This window comes from Homo sapiens, chromosome 10 (genome assembly GCF_000001405.40).
Source record: "Homo sapiens chromosome 10, GRCh38.p14 Primary Assembly".
NCBI classification, from domain to species: Eukaryota; Metazoa; Chordata; class Mammalia; order Primates; family Hominidae; genus Homo; species Homo sapiens.
The window spans coordinates 102622153-102636917 of record NC_000010.11 but is presented as its reverse complement, the minus strand read 5'-3'; the positions used below and the strand labels follow the sequence as shown (position 1 = coordinate 102636917).

The 14765-nt window shown below is 53.7% G+C and overlaps 1 protein-coding gene across 10 annotated transcripts in view, besides 4 other annotated features; it reads right to left on the bottom strand.

Moving 5' to 3' along the window:
• SUFU (SUFU negative regulator of hedgehog signaling) overlaps nucleotides 3383-14765 on the bottom strand; it is a 130717-nt gene continuing 119334 nt past the window's right edge. For 6 of the 10 annotated variants that reach the window (XM_047425335.1, XM_011539863.4, XM_047425336.1 and 3 more), the window contains 3 exons: nucleotides 10982-11107; nucleotides 9675-9743; nucleotides 3383-6852 (listed from right to left, as the gene is read on the bottom strand). In XM_047425335.1, coding sequence (XP_047281291.1) covers nucleotides 6763-6852; nucleotides 9675-9743; nucleotides 10982-11107 — 285 coding nt within the window. In that variant the 3' untranslated portion in view covers nucleotides 3383-6762. The remainder of the gene's footprint in view (nucleotides 6853-9674; nucleotides 9744-10981; nucleotides 11108-14765) is intronic. The other 4 variants (XM_047425337.1, XM_047425338.1, XM_011539861.4 and 1 more) reach the window with 1 other exon arrangement.
• Nucleotides 3865-4610: an enhancer, noted in NCBI's record as "H3K27ac-H3K4me1 hESC enhancer chr10:104392065-104392810 (GRCh37/hg19 assembly coordinates)". NCBI's record gives its function as "activates a minimal SCP1, AML or CMV promoter by ChIP-STARR-seq in naive H9 embryonic stem cells {active_cell/tissue: H9 hESC(naive)}" and the evidence as "EXISTENCE:reporter gene assay evidence [ECO:0000049][PMID:30033119]".
• Nucleotides 4611-5358: an enhancer, noted in NCBI's record as "H3K27ac-H3K4me1 hESC enhancer chr10:104391317-104392064 (GRCh37/hg19 assembly coordinates)". NCBI's record gives its function as "activates a minimal SCP1, AML or CMV promoter by ChIP-STARR-seq in naive and primed H9 embryonic stem cells {active_cell/tissue: H9 hESC(naive and primed)}" and the evidence as "EXISTENCE:reporter gene assay evidence [ECO:0000049][PMID:30033119]".
• Nucleotides 7012-7306: an enhancer, noted in NCBI's record as "tiled region #14384; K562 Activating non-DNase unmatched - State 10:DNaseD". NCBI's record gives its function as "activates a minimal TATA promoter and a strong SV40 promoter by Sharpr-MPRA in K562 cells {active_cell/tissue: K562}" and the evidence as "EXISTENCE:reporter gene assay evidence [ECO:0000049][PMID:27701403]".
• Nucleotides 7917-8459: an enhancer, noted in NCBI's record as "H3K27ac-H3K4me1 hESC enhancer chr10:104388216-104388758 (GRCh37/hg19 assembly coordinates)". NCBI's record gives its function as "activates a minimal SCP1, AML or CMV promoter by ChIP-STARR-seq in primed H9 embryonic stem cells {active_cell/tissue: H9 hESC(primed)}" and the evidence as "EXISTENCE:reporter gene assay evidence [ECO:0000049][PMID:30033119]".

The following is a 14765-nucleotide window of genomic DNA, read 5'->3' as shown; positions in this document are numbered from 1 at the left end:
CTGACTTCTCTATTTAAAATGCATCCCTCCCTCCAGCCCCACTATCCCTCCTCCTCTGTTTCTCCATAGCATGGGTCTCTATGTAAGATATATCCTCCTTTTGAAAATTATTATCTGACCAGGCATGGTGGCTCACGCCTGTAATCCCACCACTTTGGGAGTCCAAGGCAGGTGGATCACCTGAGGTCAGGAGTTCAAGACCAGCTTGGCCAACGTAGTGAAACCCCATCTCTACTAAAAGTACAAAAATTAGCTGGGCGTGGTGGCAGGCGCCTGTAATCCCAGCTACTCGGGAGGCTGAGGTGGCAGAATTGCTTGAACCTGGGAGGCGGAGGTTGCAGTAAGCCGAGATTGCGCCACTGCACTCCAGCCTGGGCAATAAGAGCAAATCTCTGTCTCAAAAAAAAGAAAAAGAAATTATTATCTGTCACCCATCATTAAAATATAAGATCTGTGAGGCCGGGCGCGGTGGCTTATGCCTGTAATCCCAGCGCTTTGGGAGGCCGAGGCAGGTGGATCACCTGAGGTCAAGAGTTCGAGACCAGCCTGGCCAACATGGTGAAACCCTGTCTCTACTAAAAATAAAAAATGAGCTGGGCGTGGTGGCACGTGCCTGTAGTCCCAGCTGTTCGGGAAGCTGAGGCAGGAGAATCTCTTGAACCCGGGAGACAGAGGTTACAGTGAACTGAGATCGCGCCAGTGCACTCCAGCCTGGGAGGTTGCAGTGAGCTGAGATCGCGCTACCACACTCCAGCCTGGGCGACAGAGTGAGACCCTGTCTCAAAAAAAAAAAAAGTAAGATCTGTCAAAGGAGGTATTTTCTTTAATGCTGTATCCCTGGTGCCTAGAATGGGACCTAGCACATTGTAGATCCCCAATAAATATTTGTCGAATCAATAAATGAATCCCATTCTCTCCATCCCTACTGCTTCTACCCTAATCCAAGCATCACTGGTCACCTTGCCTTCACTCTTACTCCCTTTCAAAACATTCTCCATCCAGCAGACAAGGAGATGATCCTAAAATGAAAGTTTGATGCCTTAAACCATATACTCCAGGCAATTTGCACTCTAGTTCCCAAGCAGTTTTAAGGCTTCTACCCTTGTTTTTTTGACTGCCTGGAGAGCTTATGAAAGTAAAGTTTCCTCTTGTTTTGCTCAACTCATCCTTAAGCATCCTTTAGGTTTTAGCTTAGATGTCACTTCTTCAGGGAGTTTTTTTGAATCTCCGCAGATGGGGTTAGGCACCTGTCTGAAGTCACCCTGATAAGTGGTGGAGCTGGGGTAGGACAGGAAGCAGCTTACTGCCTTCCTCTTTGATGGTTCTTCCTCATAAGTATCTGTTTCCTCGTCTATTTCCCCTCACCACACTCTGAGCCTCTTAAGGCAGGGCCTGAGTCCAGCGTCCCAGTATATTACAGAGTGCCTGGCACACACTTGTTGAAAGAACAACGGAATGTTTTCTAGTTCATTCCCACAGTGTTATTGTAGAGGCTGGACAATGCATGGTTGGCCTTCATCTGTCTTGTAAAGGTTAAGACTCAAAACTCCATTCTCCGTCCTTGCAGTGCTCTCGTGGTACTGAAATGGGTGTGGGGTGGGTGTGGGTGAAATTGGAAAAACAAGGAAGAGGGTCTCTGCCCCAGTAAGACCAGTTCTCTGGCCCCAGTAAGACCACTACTCTCATCATAACCCCCTCAAAGTTTCCCTCGTCCTACGAGTTACTTGGAGAGTTAAGCTCATTCAAGCCATGGACACCCACCAGCAGTCAGCTGCTTCTTCCCTCATGGTGTCCTCACCTCCCAGACTTGTTGGCAATAAGGAGGAAAGGAGGGAACGGGTCAGTCCCACCATGTCCCCTGGAAGGGGCCTGGAGATGGCTGCCCCTCTCAGACCACATCCAGACCTGCCCCTGCAGGCTTCCCCCTTCTCCTGCGCAGCAGATCACCCCACCCCGGCCTCCCCACCACCTACCCCCTTGCACCCTGCTGCTGCCTCCGTGCCTGGCAGGCTGGGTTGAGTCACTTGTAGTTTGCATTCTTCTTCTGGTCAGGCCAGTTTGGCAAACCTCTCAGGCTCCCCAGCCCCCCTGAAACCTGTGGGACTCCCTCCCCAAGGCCCCCAGATGAGGCAAAGCAGACACCTGGGAGGAAGGCACATGACTTTCTGTAGGAGATATTACAGATGGCATGGCAGATCTCTCTCCTCCCTAATTCTAGGGCTAGGGTCTCTGCCCTAGGCCCAGGAGTCCTTCTCTTTCCAGAAACAGCGTCAGCCTGGTATCTTGCAGAACCACCTAAGCAGAGGATCTTGCTATTCTGCATTCTCTGGGGCAAGAACTTCACCCTGATACTGTGTCCTTGTAGGCTAAAGTCAGATGAGGATACCTCCCCCAGCCCCCAGTCTCCGGGGAGAAAAGGGAAAGGGCATGAGGGCCCCAGACAGGACCTGCTGCACTGCTCCGTTGGAGAGTTCAGTAAGAGGCTGCAGGGGAAGGAGTGCGGACCTCTCAGCAAAGGCCCCCCACATGGCTAGGTCTCACAGAAGGGACAGGACATAAGAACCCCCTCATAGGAGCTGACACCCCCTCTCCCTTGCTTATGATGTCCTAGGACCTCCGCCCCAGCCCCCAGCCCCAGCCAAATCCCCTGCCACTATCCAGGATAGAAAACCAGAAGGGAATGAATATGTGAGGGCCCAGGTGGTCACAGGTTCCAAGAACTCTGTCTGGGCGCAGCCCTTATCCTGCCTGCCAGGCTAGTGCCTTCTCCCCCAGCTCAGTGCCTCCCCACACTGGGCGTTGGGCTGTTTTGCTGCCCCCCAGCCCTGGAGAGGCAGGAGCTGGGCAGTCCAGGAAAGGAAGATATACCTGATACCTCCCTCCACTGCCAGGCCCAGTGGAGTTGCTAGGGCGGGTGGGCTGGCCTCTGTGTCACCCAGTGGGTGCCACCGGTTCTGAATTGCCCTTCTATCTGGATCCTGCCCCTGGGCCCTGGATTAGGAGGTGGAATTTAGATGTCATGTGAGAGGAGCTGGAAGCCGGGCAAGGACTCCAAAGGAGATGAGGAGGGCCTGCCCTCCTCACCTGTCTGGGCCCCTCTTCCTAAGGCAAAAGGGGTTTTTGGTGAGAGGAGGATAGAAGAGGGATGTAGTGGCAGGGAGAGGGTCTTTTCCCACCGCCTCATCTCCCCAGACTGCTCCTCGCTCCCACCCCCTTGACCTTAGAGGAATTCAGGACCAGTGAGGGAGAGCCTGTCCTTGCAAGGTCATTTCTTCAAGACTGAAGAGCCACCAGCTGTGTGATCCCACTCTCTGGCACCTCCTCCACTCTCGACAACAATCCTGGGGGCCTCCCTCCATCCTGGCTTCTAAGTGGCTAACAACAACCCACTCCCTCTGCCAGGGCCCCGGGCTTCCGGCTCCACTACTTCAGGCAGCCAGAAATGAGCACACAACCCAGGCACTTCTGCAAAGATGTTTAATGCACTTAGATTACAGAGAGGAAGAGGGGGCAAGAAGGAAACGACATCTAAGTGAGTCACCCAAAAATTCTTACAAAAGTCCCAGGCTGGCTGCAGCCCCAGGAACCGAGTCGCCACTGACATTAAAAACTAATATAAAATTTTACAAAAATCTGCTTGTCGCAGCATTCAGGTACTTGTACAAAAGGAGGGGTCTCCCTACAGGGCTCCTGACTTGTAACAGGGACCCAGGCACCTCACCTGGCATGGATGTCCTAGAAGCCAGAAAGGGAAGACCAGACACAAAAATACAGTAAAGGAAATTCTCTACTGGTCAGCCCCATAGGGGCACCGACCTTCAGGTTTTCTCCCTGCTTGCAACTCAATCCGAAACCCCAGTCCCAAGACCCTGTGTCTATTTTTAAAAATGCTCTAGCCCTTTTAGACTCTCCCCTTGGCTTCTCCAGTCCCTGCCTTGGAGCACTGCCCTTGGAAGAGAAAGATACGGGCAGGAAGAGGCACCAGCTCCCCACACAGGCCTGAGACCTCGCACAAGCCTCCCAAACCCCCCTCAGAATTGCAGCTGAGTCTGCAGTCCTCCTGCAGCCCACACTGAGCCAGCAGAGCCACAGGAGCCTGCCTTATATAGCAGGCAAAGAGGAAAGGGAAAGGCCCTTCTCAGAAGCTCTAGCACCAGGGACCTGGAGGGGTGGGTACAACTAGGCAAGTCTCCAAGTAGCTTGCAGAAGAGGCAGATTTAGGGAGGGAGGCCCCTTACCTCCTCCACCCACTACAAGGTCAGGGGCTCCCTCAGAGCTGCAGGGAGGGAAAGAAAGGGTACATTCACCAAGCATCCTGTGCCAGAAGCTGTGCTGGACAGGGTCCAAGGTCAGCTTGGCTTGATCTTCTTTAAGGGTCCTCTCTCACCAGCCAGCAGCCCAAGAAACCTCTGGGAGGCACCAATGCCCATAGGAAAGGAGGCCTGGTGAGAAATGTGTGATACCCTGTCCTGCCCTCAGAGCCAGTGAGATGGAGCCTGGCCCCTGCAGGATCTTGGGTGAGCGTGAGGCTCCTGACATATTGCAGGTACGAAGGGGCCACAGGCTTCATGTGCTCATCATCTCGGAGCTCACCCACTTCCTCCTGCCTTACCCTGCTCCCCCAGAACAGGGCCACCATGCTGGCTGGTGTCTACCTTCAGTCCACAAAGACCCTCCAGGTCTGGGGCAGGTTGCTGACCAGGTGCTTCACAAACTAATGACAAAGCTTAGCTCAGAAAATGCCCCATCCCCACCCAACCAACGATGGAGGCACCCAGCAGATGGAAGTACGGCGAACTGCAGCAGGGAGCCCTCAGGCAGGTCCCGAGCAAGAGAGAGTTCAGGGAGAGGCTGGTCATGGTGGCAAGGAATGGAGGCGAACTGATGGCACCTCTCTGCCTGTGAAATGTCAGAAACAAGAGCTTCACAGGCAGGGCTGCTGTGGTGGGGGAAGGCCAGTAGGGCTCCCTCTGGTAAGTCCTCAGGGCAGTAGAGGCACAGCTGCCGACATCAGGTCCCGAGTGGCTTGCATCTTGGCTGGCGGGGATCTGCAGCCAGTCTCTCCCAAATACTCCAGGCTGATATGCCTTTTAACTCTGAGCTTGATGGAATTAACCAGATAGCCCTGGGGATGTGTAGAGGAGGCCAGGCCTAGTGGCTCCATGGAGGTCCAACTCCTGCTCCCTGGAGAACCCAGCTGGTGCCCTCATACCCCTGGGGGCAGCTCTTTGGCTGGATCTCTCATCAGTGGAGTCCTGCACCCTGTGGGCACTCCTGTGGCATCCCTGCTGGTGCCTGTGTGTGCAGCAGAGGCAGATGGGAGCAATGAGGAGCCCTGCATTGTCATGACTTTGCTTTGAAGAGGTGTAAAGAGTGATCTTGAAGTATTGTAACAGTCCCATCCCTAGAGTTGGGGGTAAGAAGGCAGGAAAGGGGCTTGCTGGTTCCAGGTCAGGCGTGGGAGATAACCCGAGAGGAACTCCAAAACCATGGGCTAGAGATAGGCTGGCTTCTGGAAGGCAAACTGTGAGATCTGCAGTACTGGGGGTGAGGGGCTGAGGACCACGAGAGGCCAGGATGCCAGAAAGGAGAGGGATTAGGAGTGGAGAATGAAAGATAGGGCATGAATGGATACAGGGAGGATGGGAGGGCAGCAGAGAGCAGTGTTAGCAAAACCAAAGTGAAAGAGATGTTAAGAGGTGGATTTTTCAATTTTAGTAAGGCAGCCCTACAGCCTGAAGGCTGGGAGGCCCAGGGACTGAGGAAATGGGACAGGACTGGTTACAGAGCTGGAGACCCAGGCCCTGAATGACAGTGGGGATGGTGTGTGATGTGCTGAACCTCACCCTCTCCCAGGTAGGCCTGGTTGGGTGGAAAAGGCCTAGAAGATGAGGCTGGGGTCACCAAGTCTTTGAGACCCATTCACTTGGAAAACAGTAGCACCCCTCCCTGGCCCCAGCTAAACTAGGCTCAAAGCTGCACAAGGGAGTGTCTCTACTCTCCCCCTGCCCCGGGCTCCACCAGGCCCAGCTGGGAAGAAAAGCCTCTCTGTGCAGCCGGCTCCTCCAGGGCTCTGGGCTGGCAGGCGAACACCAAGCACCTTCTCTGGTGGCAGCCCAGGGAGAGATACAGCCCTAGGCCTCTGTCAGAGAATGCGAAAGTTCAACGGGGAATGAAGTTCTGTTTAAAAAACATTATATACATGGCTTCTGGACATCTTTGCAGAGCAATAAAATACCACCCGGTTTCTACAAAATAAAATAAGGAAGAAGAAAACCAAACATGATCAGAGGAATTGTTCCGCGGCCAGAGGAGCTTGAGTAGCAAAGGCTTCCAGAGATGAGCTGGGAAGTGCATCCACTCGCTCTGCATCTGGCTGTCCGCCTCCCTCCTGCTGGGCTGTGCGGCAGGGGGTAGGTGAGAAAGAGGGCTGTCTCCACCTAGGGGCACAGCCAGGGTCCAGAGTCAAACCTCAAACCAGAATCTGTGCAGGCTGCAGGCAGGGAGGGTCCGCATTTGCCCACTCACTGGCCTGATGGGTCACAAGGCTTAGCCAGCGGCGGGGTGCGGCCCCTGAGCTGGAGGTGAGGTGGAGGGCCTGTGGCCTGTGCATGGCACCCCACTGGGCTGCGGGGTGGCACTGCGCAGTCTTCCTCACACTTGTCCTTTTATTTGTGGAGATCTCGTTGACACAACTGTTACACTGGAAGTCACTGGGGAGCAGCTGGGCTCCCTGCTGGCCACTGCAGGGCCCAGCCCAGGCTAGTGTAGCGGACTGTCGAACACCACGTCAGGCAGGATGGAGACCTTCAGCTTCTTTTCAGGCCAGCTGTACTCTTTGGGAAGTTTGAACTGTGGAGGGAGCAAGCACAGACCAGGAGTGTGAGTGGTTAGCAGAATACACCGTGGTCTTTCCAGAGATTGCCCAGGCCTGTCCCCGGGGAGCTAGGGATAGGACAGGCCGCGGGAGGCGTGGCTTCATTCTCAAATGCTAGACCCAGGTGGCAGGCTGGGCTCAAACGGCTGGAGTTGGTGACCCCTTCTTTCCCCACGGCCTGTCAATAATGAGGCAGGTTGGAGGAGGGCGTTTTCTCCTCCTTTCTCCACTAAGCTGACCTCCCTCTTGCTCACTTCCTTGGTTCTGCCTCTGGCCACAGGCATGTAAAGAATCTGCTCCCTGAGGCCCTGGGGCTGGAGGATGGGGGCTGGGGGAGGGTCTGGAGGCTATGGGGAAGTGGCCTGAGCTCTGTCACTGCCATGGCCTCTCTTTCAGAGGCTAGTGCAGGAAGAACCCTGGAACCTGTCCTCTGTATACTTGGCCAAAGGCTCCAAAGGGAAGGAGGCCCCAGTTCGGCCCCAAAGTCAGAACCACACTTGCGGCCTTGGTGGGAGCAGAAGAGTGGGACAAGTGTGGTTTGAGGTGATCCCTTGGGCCTGAGAGGGGCCAATCCCCACCCTGCTCCCTGTATTCATTCGCACCACTTCCCAGGGTTACCAGCCTCAGAGTGGTCCCAGTGGTGGCCAAGGAGAGCCAAATGTCTCCCACCCCATCCCAGGATACACTGATTTGCCTACAGTTCTGTTTCTCCCATTCACCTGGGAGTTTCTGGTAGGGGAAGGGGAAGAGGCTGATGCCTCTTATTCCCTCTTTACTGTAGAACTTTGCATGCAGTCTGGCACACAGATGGAGCTCAATAAATGCTCACTGCCTGGGACTGATACCGGAACTTAGACACAGGGTCTGTCTTTTCTTTTTCTTTTGAGACGGAGTTTCGCTCTTGTTGCCCAGGCTGGAGTGCAATGGCGCGATCTCGGCTCACTGCAACTTTTGCTTCCCGGGTTCAAGCGATTCTCGTGCCTCAGCCTCCCGAGTAGCTGAGATTACAGGCATGCACCACCAAGCCCGGCTAATTATTGTATTATTAGTAGAGATGGGTTTTCTCCATGTTGGTCAGGCTGGTCTCAAATTCCCGACCTCAGGTGATCCACCTGCCTCGGCCTCCCAAAGTGCTGGGATTACAGACATGAGTCACTGCGCCCGGCCCAGGGTCTGTCTTTTCTAATTTGGCTAGGCCGGAAGTCAGGGCAGGGTGGAAAGGAGAGAACAGTGTTCTCAGCCTGCCTCGGTCTGGGGCTGGAGGCAGACGAGCCTGACCCTTCCTGGCTGCCTCCCTCTTCGCTCCCTCTGCTGGGGGACTGTCTCTGCCAGGACCAAAGTGGCGAGTGAGGCAGGGTGTAGGGACAGCCTCTGGACAGAAAAGGAAAAAAAGAAAAAAGTCATTTTTAGTGACCTACTTTCCTCTGCTCCCCCAGGCTTCTGTCCCTCTTGCCTGGACTGTCCCCCTCCTACCCCCAAGCTCAAAGCAGCAGCCTGGCACAGCGCCATCCCAGTGCGACAAGGCCTCTCCGGAAGCGCTTCTGGGCAGCTGGCTCTGGTCTGACTGAATGGGGAGCTGGGACTCAGGGACCAGTGACTTGTGGGGGTTGATTGGCTGGCATGGACTGGGTGCTTGATGGCTTTGGAATATATAAATGAACAAATTTCTCAAGCTGCATCCCAGAGGACAGAGGAGACCCTGCTCTATTGAGGTGACCCTGGCTCTGGGGAGTTCCTGTCCAACTGGAGACCTGGACTGGACGGTCCCGCCCTGTGCACTCCCCTCAGCTTCCTAAACACCAGAGGCCTGTGTCCTGGCTGTTGCAGCCCAGGGAGCCCTGGAAGCTGGAAGCTCCAGCCCTGGCTGGAACCTAGCTCCCGCCTGGCCTCCCTCTTGGTAGAAAGCCTGGCCCCTGGGAGGCGAAGGAGTTCTCCCCCAAGCACATTTCCTGGCAGACAGGACAAGGGAAGGGTCTGCCTCTGCCACAGGCAGGGCAGGGCCCAGGAGAGCTCTCCAGAGGCCCGGCCAGCCTGCTAGAGTTCACTAACCCATGGGGCACTGGGGCCAGGAAAGCTCCCATCCCACTGGGGTGCTGCGGGCAGGAGCGGGGGAGGGGAAGGGATTTTCCAGGATGAGGTAAGCCCTCGCAAATAAGGATGCCGGGAACAAGGGAGAAAAAACAAAGGGGATTATGGACTCCATTCCTCTACCCCAGAGGAGCAGCTAAAGAAGGCACAGCCACAGCTGGCCTGCCAGCTCCTCCAGCTCTGAGCCAGGGCTGGAAGAGGGAGACTAAGAGGCACAGCTCATGGCTGGAGGACGAAGAAGGGAGAGTGGCTCCTGGGTGGCCCGAGGCGAGAGCAGGAGTCCCTTGCTGCCCACCAGAACTCCCCAGCGGAATGTTCTCTGGCAACAGACATGGGCGTTCTGTTCAGAATCTGCCAGGGAACAGCAGGGGCTGGGGAGAACTCGTACTAGCCTGAAGGCCCTGGCTTCCTCTTCAATGAGGCTCTCAGGAGCTGGCAATTCAGACGATTTGCTGGGTGTCCTTACAAGGGCTGGGGGTAGGGCAGGGGATGGTGAGGGTGCATAGAAACAGAAGAGAAATCTACAGTCTCCTCTCCAGCCTATCCCTGCACCTTGGGGAGGAGCCCACAGATGCAGCCACACAGATACATGCAAGCACACACGCACCACAGGTACACACGCACACATGCATGCACAGACGTGCACACGCACGCACACACATGGTCCCAGAGACGGGACCTGTTGTCAGGAAAAGTCAAACAAGCTTACTTCCTCTGGAGAAGTCAAATCTTCTAAATCCTCCAACATTTTCTCTACAAACTCTTCGGTCAACAGAATCTGTGAAGGCACAAGGCAGGCTTTTATTATTATTTTTAAATGTATGATCTTTTTGCCAACCACCAAGCGTTATACCTCTCTTCTGACCATGGAGGAGAGATGAGCTCACTGTGATCTGTTCAAGGGACACAGGGAAGTGTTTGAGGCCTGTCCCCAGCTGTCATTCCCCCCACACCCTCACCTCCCTGCAATATCAGACTGAGGCATAGAAGGAAAGGGGTCAGGGGACAATGGGGAGGGGAGGGAGGACACTGGGAGAGCTGGGAATGCTGCTCCCAGAAGGGAGATGAACACTGGTGGGGCCGGTAAAAAGGAATCTCAGGAAGAAAAAGGAACAGAAAAGAAAAATTAAAAGGAAAAAAAATTAAATTAAAGCTGCTGCCCAGTCAGGCTCTAGTGTCCCCCTCTGCCCCTCACCGTAGAAGGACAAAAGGAAACTGTTTGGATTTGGAATACAAGCCCTATCTGGAATCTGGAAGTGCCCTGGAAGGTACATCCAAGAATGTCTGAGCTGGAGAATCTGGAGATTGTGGACCAACGTCTCATTTTACAGATGACAAAGGGACTCCCAACTTCCATTCCCATTCACAGTAGCCACATCCTCCCAGGCTGGAAGCTCCCAAGCCCCTGACCTGCTGTGCTCGATCAGCCACTGAGTTCCTCCAGCCTTCTTTGAGGTTCCTCTTCTCTAGGTCACCTCCCAGCATTCCACGTTGCTGTTCTAGTCTGACACCTCATTGCCTCTCGCTTTGATGCTGAGTCTGGCCCCACTATTTGGCTGGCACAAACACCAACTTCATCCGCTAAAGAAGTTTTCACAGCCAATACCAACGTCCAAGGGCTCTCAGGCCCTCTAAAACCGGCCTTCCTCAATCTGCTGGGCCATTCTTCCCCACCCACCCCTCTCGTCAGGCTGCTAGGCAGAGCCAGGCCAAGCTGATCCCAGGTCTGCACCCCACCACGCCCTGGGTGAGGGTGTCTTTCCTCTTCCAACTGTGACCCCTTCCTTCACCCCTCCCCCTCCCTGTCCTTGTCCCCAGGGCCTCCCAGCCTCCCTCCACTGCAGACCCTTCTGTACCCCCAGGCCACAGCTCTACCTGTCTTCTCCCGTACACCTTGAGCACCCAGGTAGGGCACAAAGGAAGAAAGATAATGGGGTGAAGATCCAGGTGAGGGGCTCCTCTGAGGGGAAACCCTCCCTGTGAGGAGGAGAATTGAGAACTTGAAAAAATACCCACCAGGTTTCCCCTGGGAATTGTCAGCTGCCAAGAACAAAAGTTTCCACGCTGTGAGATAACAAGGAAGGAGTGCACACAGGAAGGTGAGCACACAGGACGGCTCGGGAGCTCACAGGACGGAGGTCTCTAAAGCAAGAAGTGGACGGGGTGGAGGAGGGAGTGAGAAATAAGAACACTACCCCCAAGTGAGCAGAAAAGCCGCCATCATACCGGGCATGCTAACTGCTCATCTCCATGTCTCCTTACAGTGGAGGAAACAGGCACAGGCAGGTTATGTAATTTGCTCAGTGTCACACGGCTTGTGAGTGGTTAAGACCATATCCTGATCATGTCTGGACTCTCAATTTAGTGCCTGGAGTACTGCTCCCGAATGCTGAACTCTCACCCCCAGGACACTAACTCATCCATTCATCCTTCCAGGGACACAGGCATGAAGGCAGCTCATTTCCCACCAGGACAAGCACCCTCTTTTGGCTGGCAAGGAGACAAGAGACCCAGCCTTCCCAGGCTCCAAGCCCATAGCAGGAACAAAATAACTCTGACCACTGGTCCACGTCTCCTCACCAAACTCTCTGTTCTAGGAGCTAGGGCCCCGACCAAGGACAGAGACAAGGCTTAGAGACAGAGCAGGAGAGGCAAAGTTGGCAAAGTTCGGGGAGGTGCACCCCTACAGTTCTTCCTAATTCCCCAAAGTGGGACTGGCCGACTCTGCCCACAGACTCCAGCCATACACGTACTCCCTCTCACAGCCTAAGCCCTTGCTCCTCCTACTCTCTTATCCCAGGGGTGTCCTCCCCAAAAGTTCAGTTTCCCCACCAGTTATCACCAGTCTGCTCAAGCAATACAAAAGTTACATTCATATTTTTGGCATTTCCGGGGCTCGTTGCCATCTCTGCAAATGCTAGCACAAACACAAGCATACCTAAAACCCAATTATATTACAATGGCTCCAGTCTGGGCCGGGCTGGGCTAATTTCTAACTCACAAATAACTTGGAGGGAGGGGCTTTCTGCCAGATCAGTAAATAGATGTGGGACTATAACAAGTGCTGGGGGTGAGATGGGGTGGAGGGAGGACAGGAAGAGGGGCAAGGGTTCACAGAGGCTGTGGCCACCCAGTGAGACGCCAGAGTTATTCTTCAAGGAAACGTAATGCCACCAACACTGAGTTCAATTCTAAGCTGGTTCCCCTGACAAAGGTCTGGAACTGGTGCTAAGGAGAGGGTGAGTTATGGTGGCTTTTAGTAGAGCAACGACCATGCGCGGCACCATCTGTGTGTGGACTTATTTTGGACTCGGTTGGGGGAGGGGATGGCCAGATCAAAAATGAGGACAAACCCTAGCTGCTCCTCCATTTTTGCTTTTGGTGATTTGCTGGTTCCCGCTGGAAACTTCACGTTATTTTAAAAGAATTAAAGGGGAAAAATTATACATGAGATCTACATGATATTAAAGGTGACATTCTCTGCAAAGAAACACGACAGACTGTCATAGCTCCAGGCACCTAATTTAATTTCCTTTGGGAGTTAAACCTTAGAAGGTTGGATTGAACAAACAGGCCCTGTTCTTTGTATATTTCAGACCTGGAGCTGAGAATGTTAACAGATCTTATCAACAGGACACTGGAGATAGACAGCTAAGATGGGGCAGCTCCTGGGAGCTCTCCCGAGTAACAGACTTGCCCTTGTGATGCAACTGTGGGAAAAGCCTGTGCAGTTCTGGGGCTTGGCACTCCTGAGGCTCACTGGGTCCCTACAGAGCTGCTTGGCTCTGTCACGAATAATAATGGGAATGGTGATGATAAAAATGACAGTAAAAATGGCCAATAGCAGAAGCAGTACCTCCACCATGTGCTAGGCGCTGTGCTAAGAGCTTGATCAGTGTCATTTCATTGAATCCTTATGGCAGTTCTGCTAGGGAGGTGACTATCATCCCCACTTTGCCCAAGGGTAGGTACCCAGAGGAGACAAGGCTCTGGACTTTTCTTTTTATTTTTTAGATGGAATCTCTTGCCCTATCGCCCAGGCTGGAGTGCAGTGGTACAATCTTGGCTCATTGCAACCTCCGCCTCCTGGGTTCAAGCGATTCTCCTGCCTCAGCCTCCCGAGTAGCTGGGATTACAGGTGACCATCACCATGTCCGGCTAATTTTTGTATTTTTAGTAGAGATGGGGTTTTGCCATGTTGGCCAGGCTGGTCTTGAACTCCTGACCTCAAATGATCCATCCGCCTTGGCCTCCCAAAGTGCTGGGATCACAGGCAAGAGCCACCACGCCTGGCTCAAGGCTCTGGACTTTAGAGGAACGGCTATCTGATCTCATGGTGATAGAGGATGCTCTTTTCCTGTCTGGGGAAGACACCCCAACTGTAGAAGCCTATATAGATGGGGATAACTTCTCTGTCTTCTGATGAGGGAGGTGAAGGTAGCTTTGGTTTTTACCAATGACCTGGAAAATCAGCAGTCCCAACCTCCACCAGCCACACATTTCCTGGCCACCTGCTCAACTTAAGAGGGCTAGAAGCCTGAGAGTCACAGACACTGCTAAAAAACCAGACTGGCCAATGAAAAGGAAGGCAAACCAATGCCCAGAGATGGTTCCCAAGTGGGGACGGTGGGGCAAATTCCCAGGCCAGCCTAGTGAATACATATATCTTGACAGTTCTCTAGCCCAGAAAGTAGCAGTAGAAATAATATTGATAACAGCACTCACTGATATTTGCACTTACCAAGAGCCAGGCAGAAAACACTTATGTTTGTACACAAACAGCCCTCAGAGGGAGGAGACCCTCTAGTAAGAGAGGAAGACCCTCAACCAATCTGAGCAGCACACTCCCCTGGGAAGCTTCTGAAAATATGGCGATGCTAGGCCCCATTCACACTTCCTGAATCAGAATACTCTGGGGTAAGGCCAAGGCCCATGCTTTTTTTTTTTTTTTTTTTTTTTTTGAGACGGAGTTTTGCTCTTGTTTTCCAGGCTGGAGTGCAATGGCACGATCTCAACTCACCGCAACCTCTGCCTCCTGGGTTCAAGTGATTCTCCTGCCTCAGTCTCTCAAGTAGCTGGGATTACAGGCATGTGCCACCATGCCCAGCTAATTTTTTTTTTTTTTTTTTCTTCTGAGACGGAGTCTCACTCTGTCACCCAGGCTGGAGTGCAGTAGCATGATCTTGGCTCACTGCAAGCTCCGCCTCCTGGGTTCATGCCATTCTCCTGCCTCAGCCTCCCAAAGTGTTGGGATTACAGGCGTGAGCCACTGGGCCCGGCCAGGGGCTGGAGTTTTGTCTGCTGTTTAACAGCAGACAAACAAGCTGGGACTACAGGCGCCCGCCGCCATGCCCGGCTAATTTTTTGTATTTTTAGTAGAGACGGGGTTTTACTGTGTTAGCCAGGATGGTCTCGATCTCCTGACCTCATGATCCGCCCGCCTCGGCCTCCCAAAGTGCTAGGATTACAGGTGTGAGCCACCGTGCCTGGCAATTTTGTATTTTTAGTAGAGATGGGGTTTCTCCACATTGGTCAGGCTGGTCTCGAACTCCCGACCTCAGATGATCCACCCACCTCAGCCTCCCAAAGTGCTGGGACTGATTACAGGCGTGAGCCACCGCACCTGGCCAGCACTTGTATTCTTAAGTGGTGCCCCAGGAGATCATGGTGAGGGGCTGCTGGGGAAATACTCAGGCCCACAGGGAAAGGGGGTTTGGGCACAGGCTTAACCAACAGGGGTGAGTTGGTGGCTGTAGCTTCACCACCATCAAACGGGCTGAGCTGCGAGGGGGGCAATGGA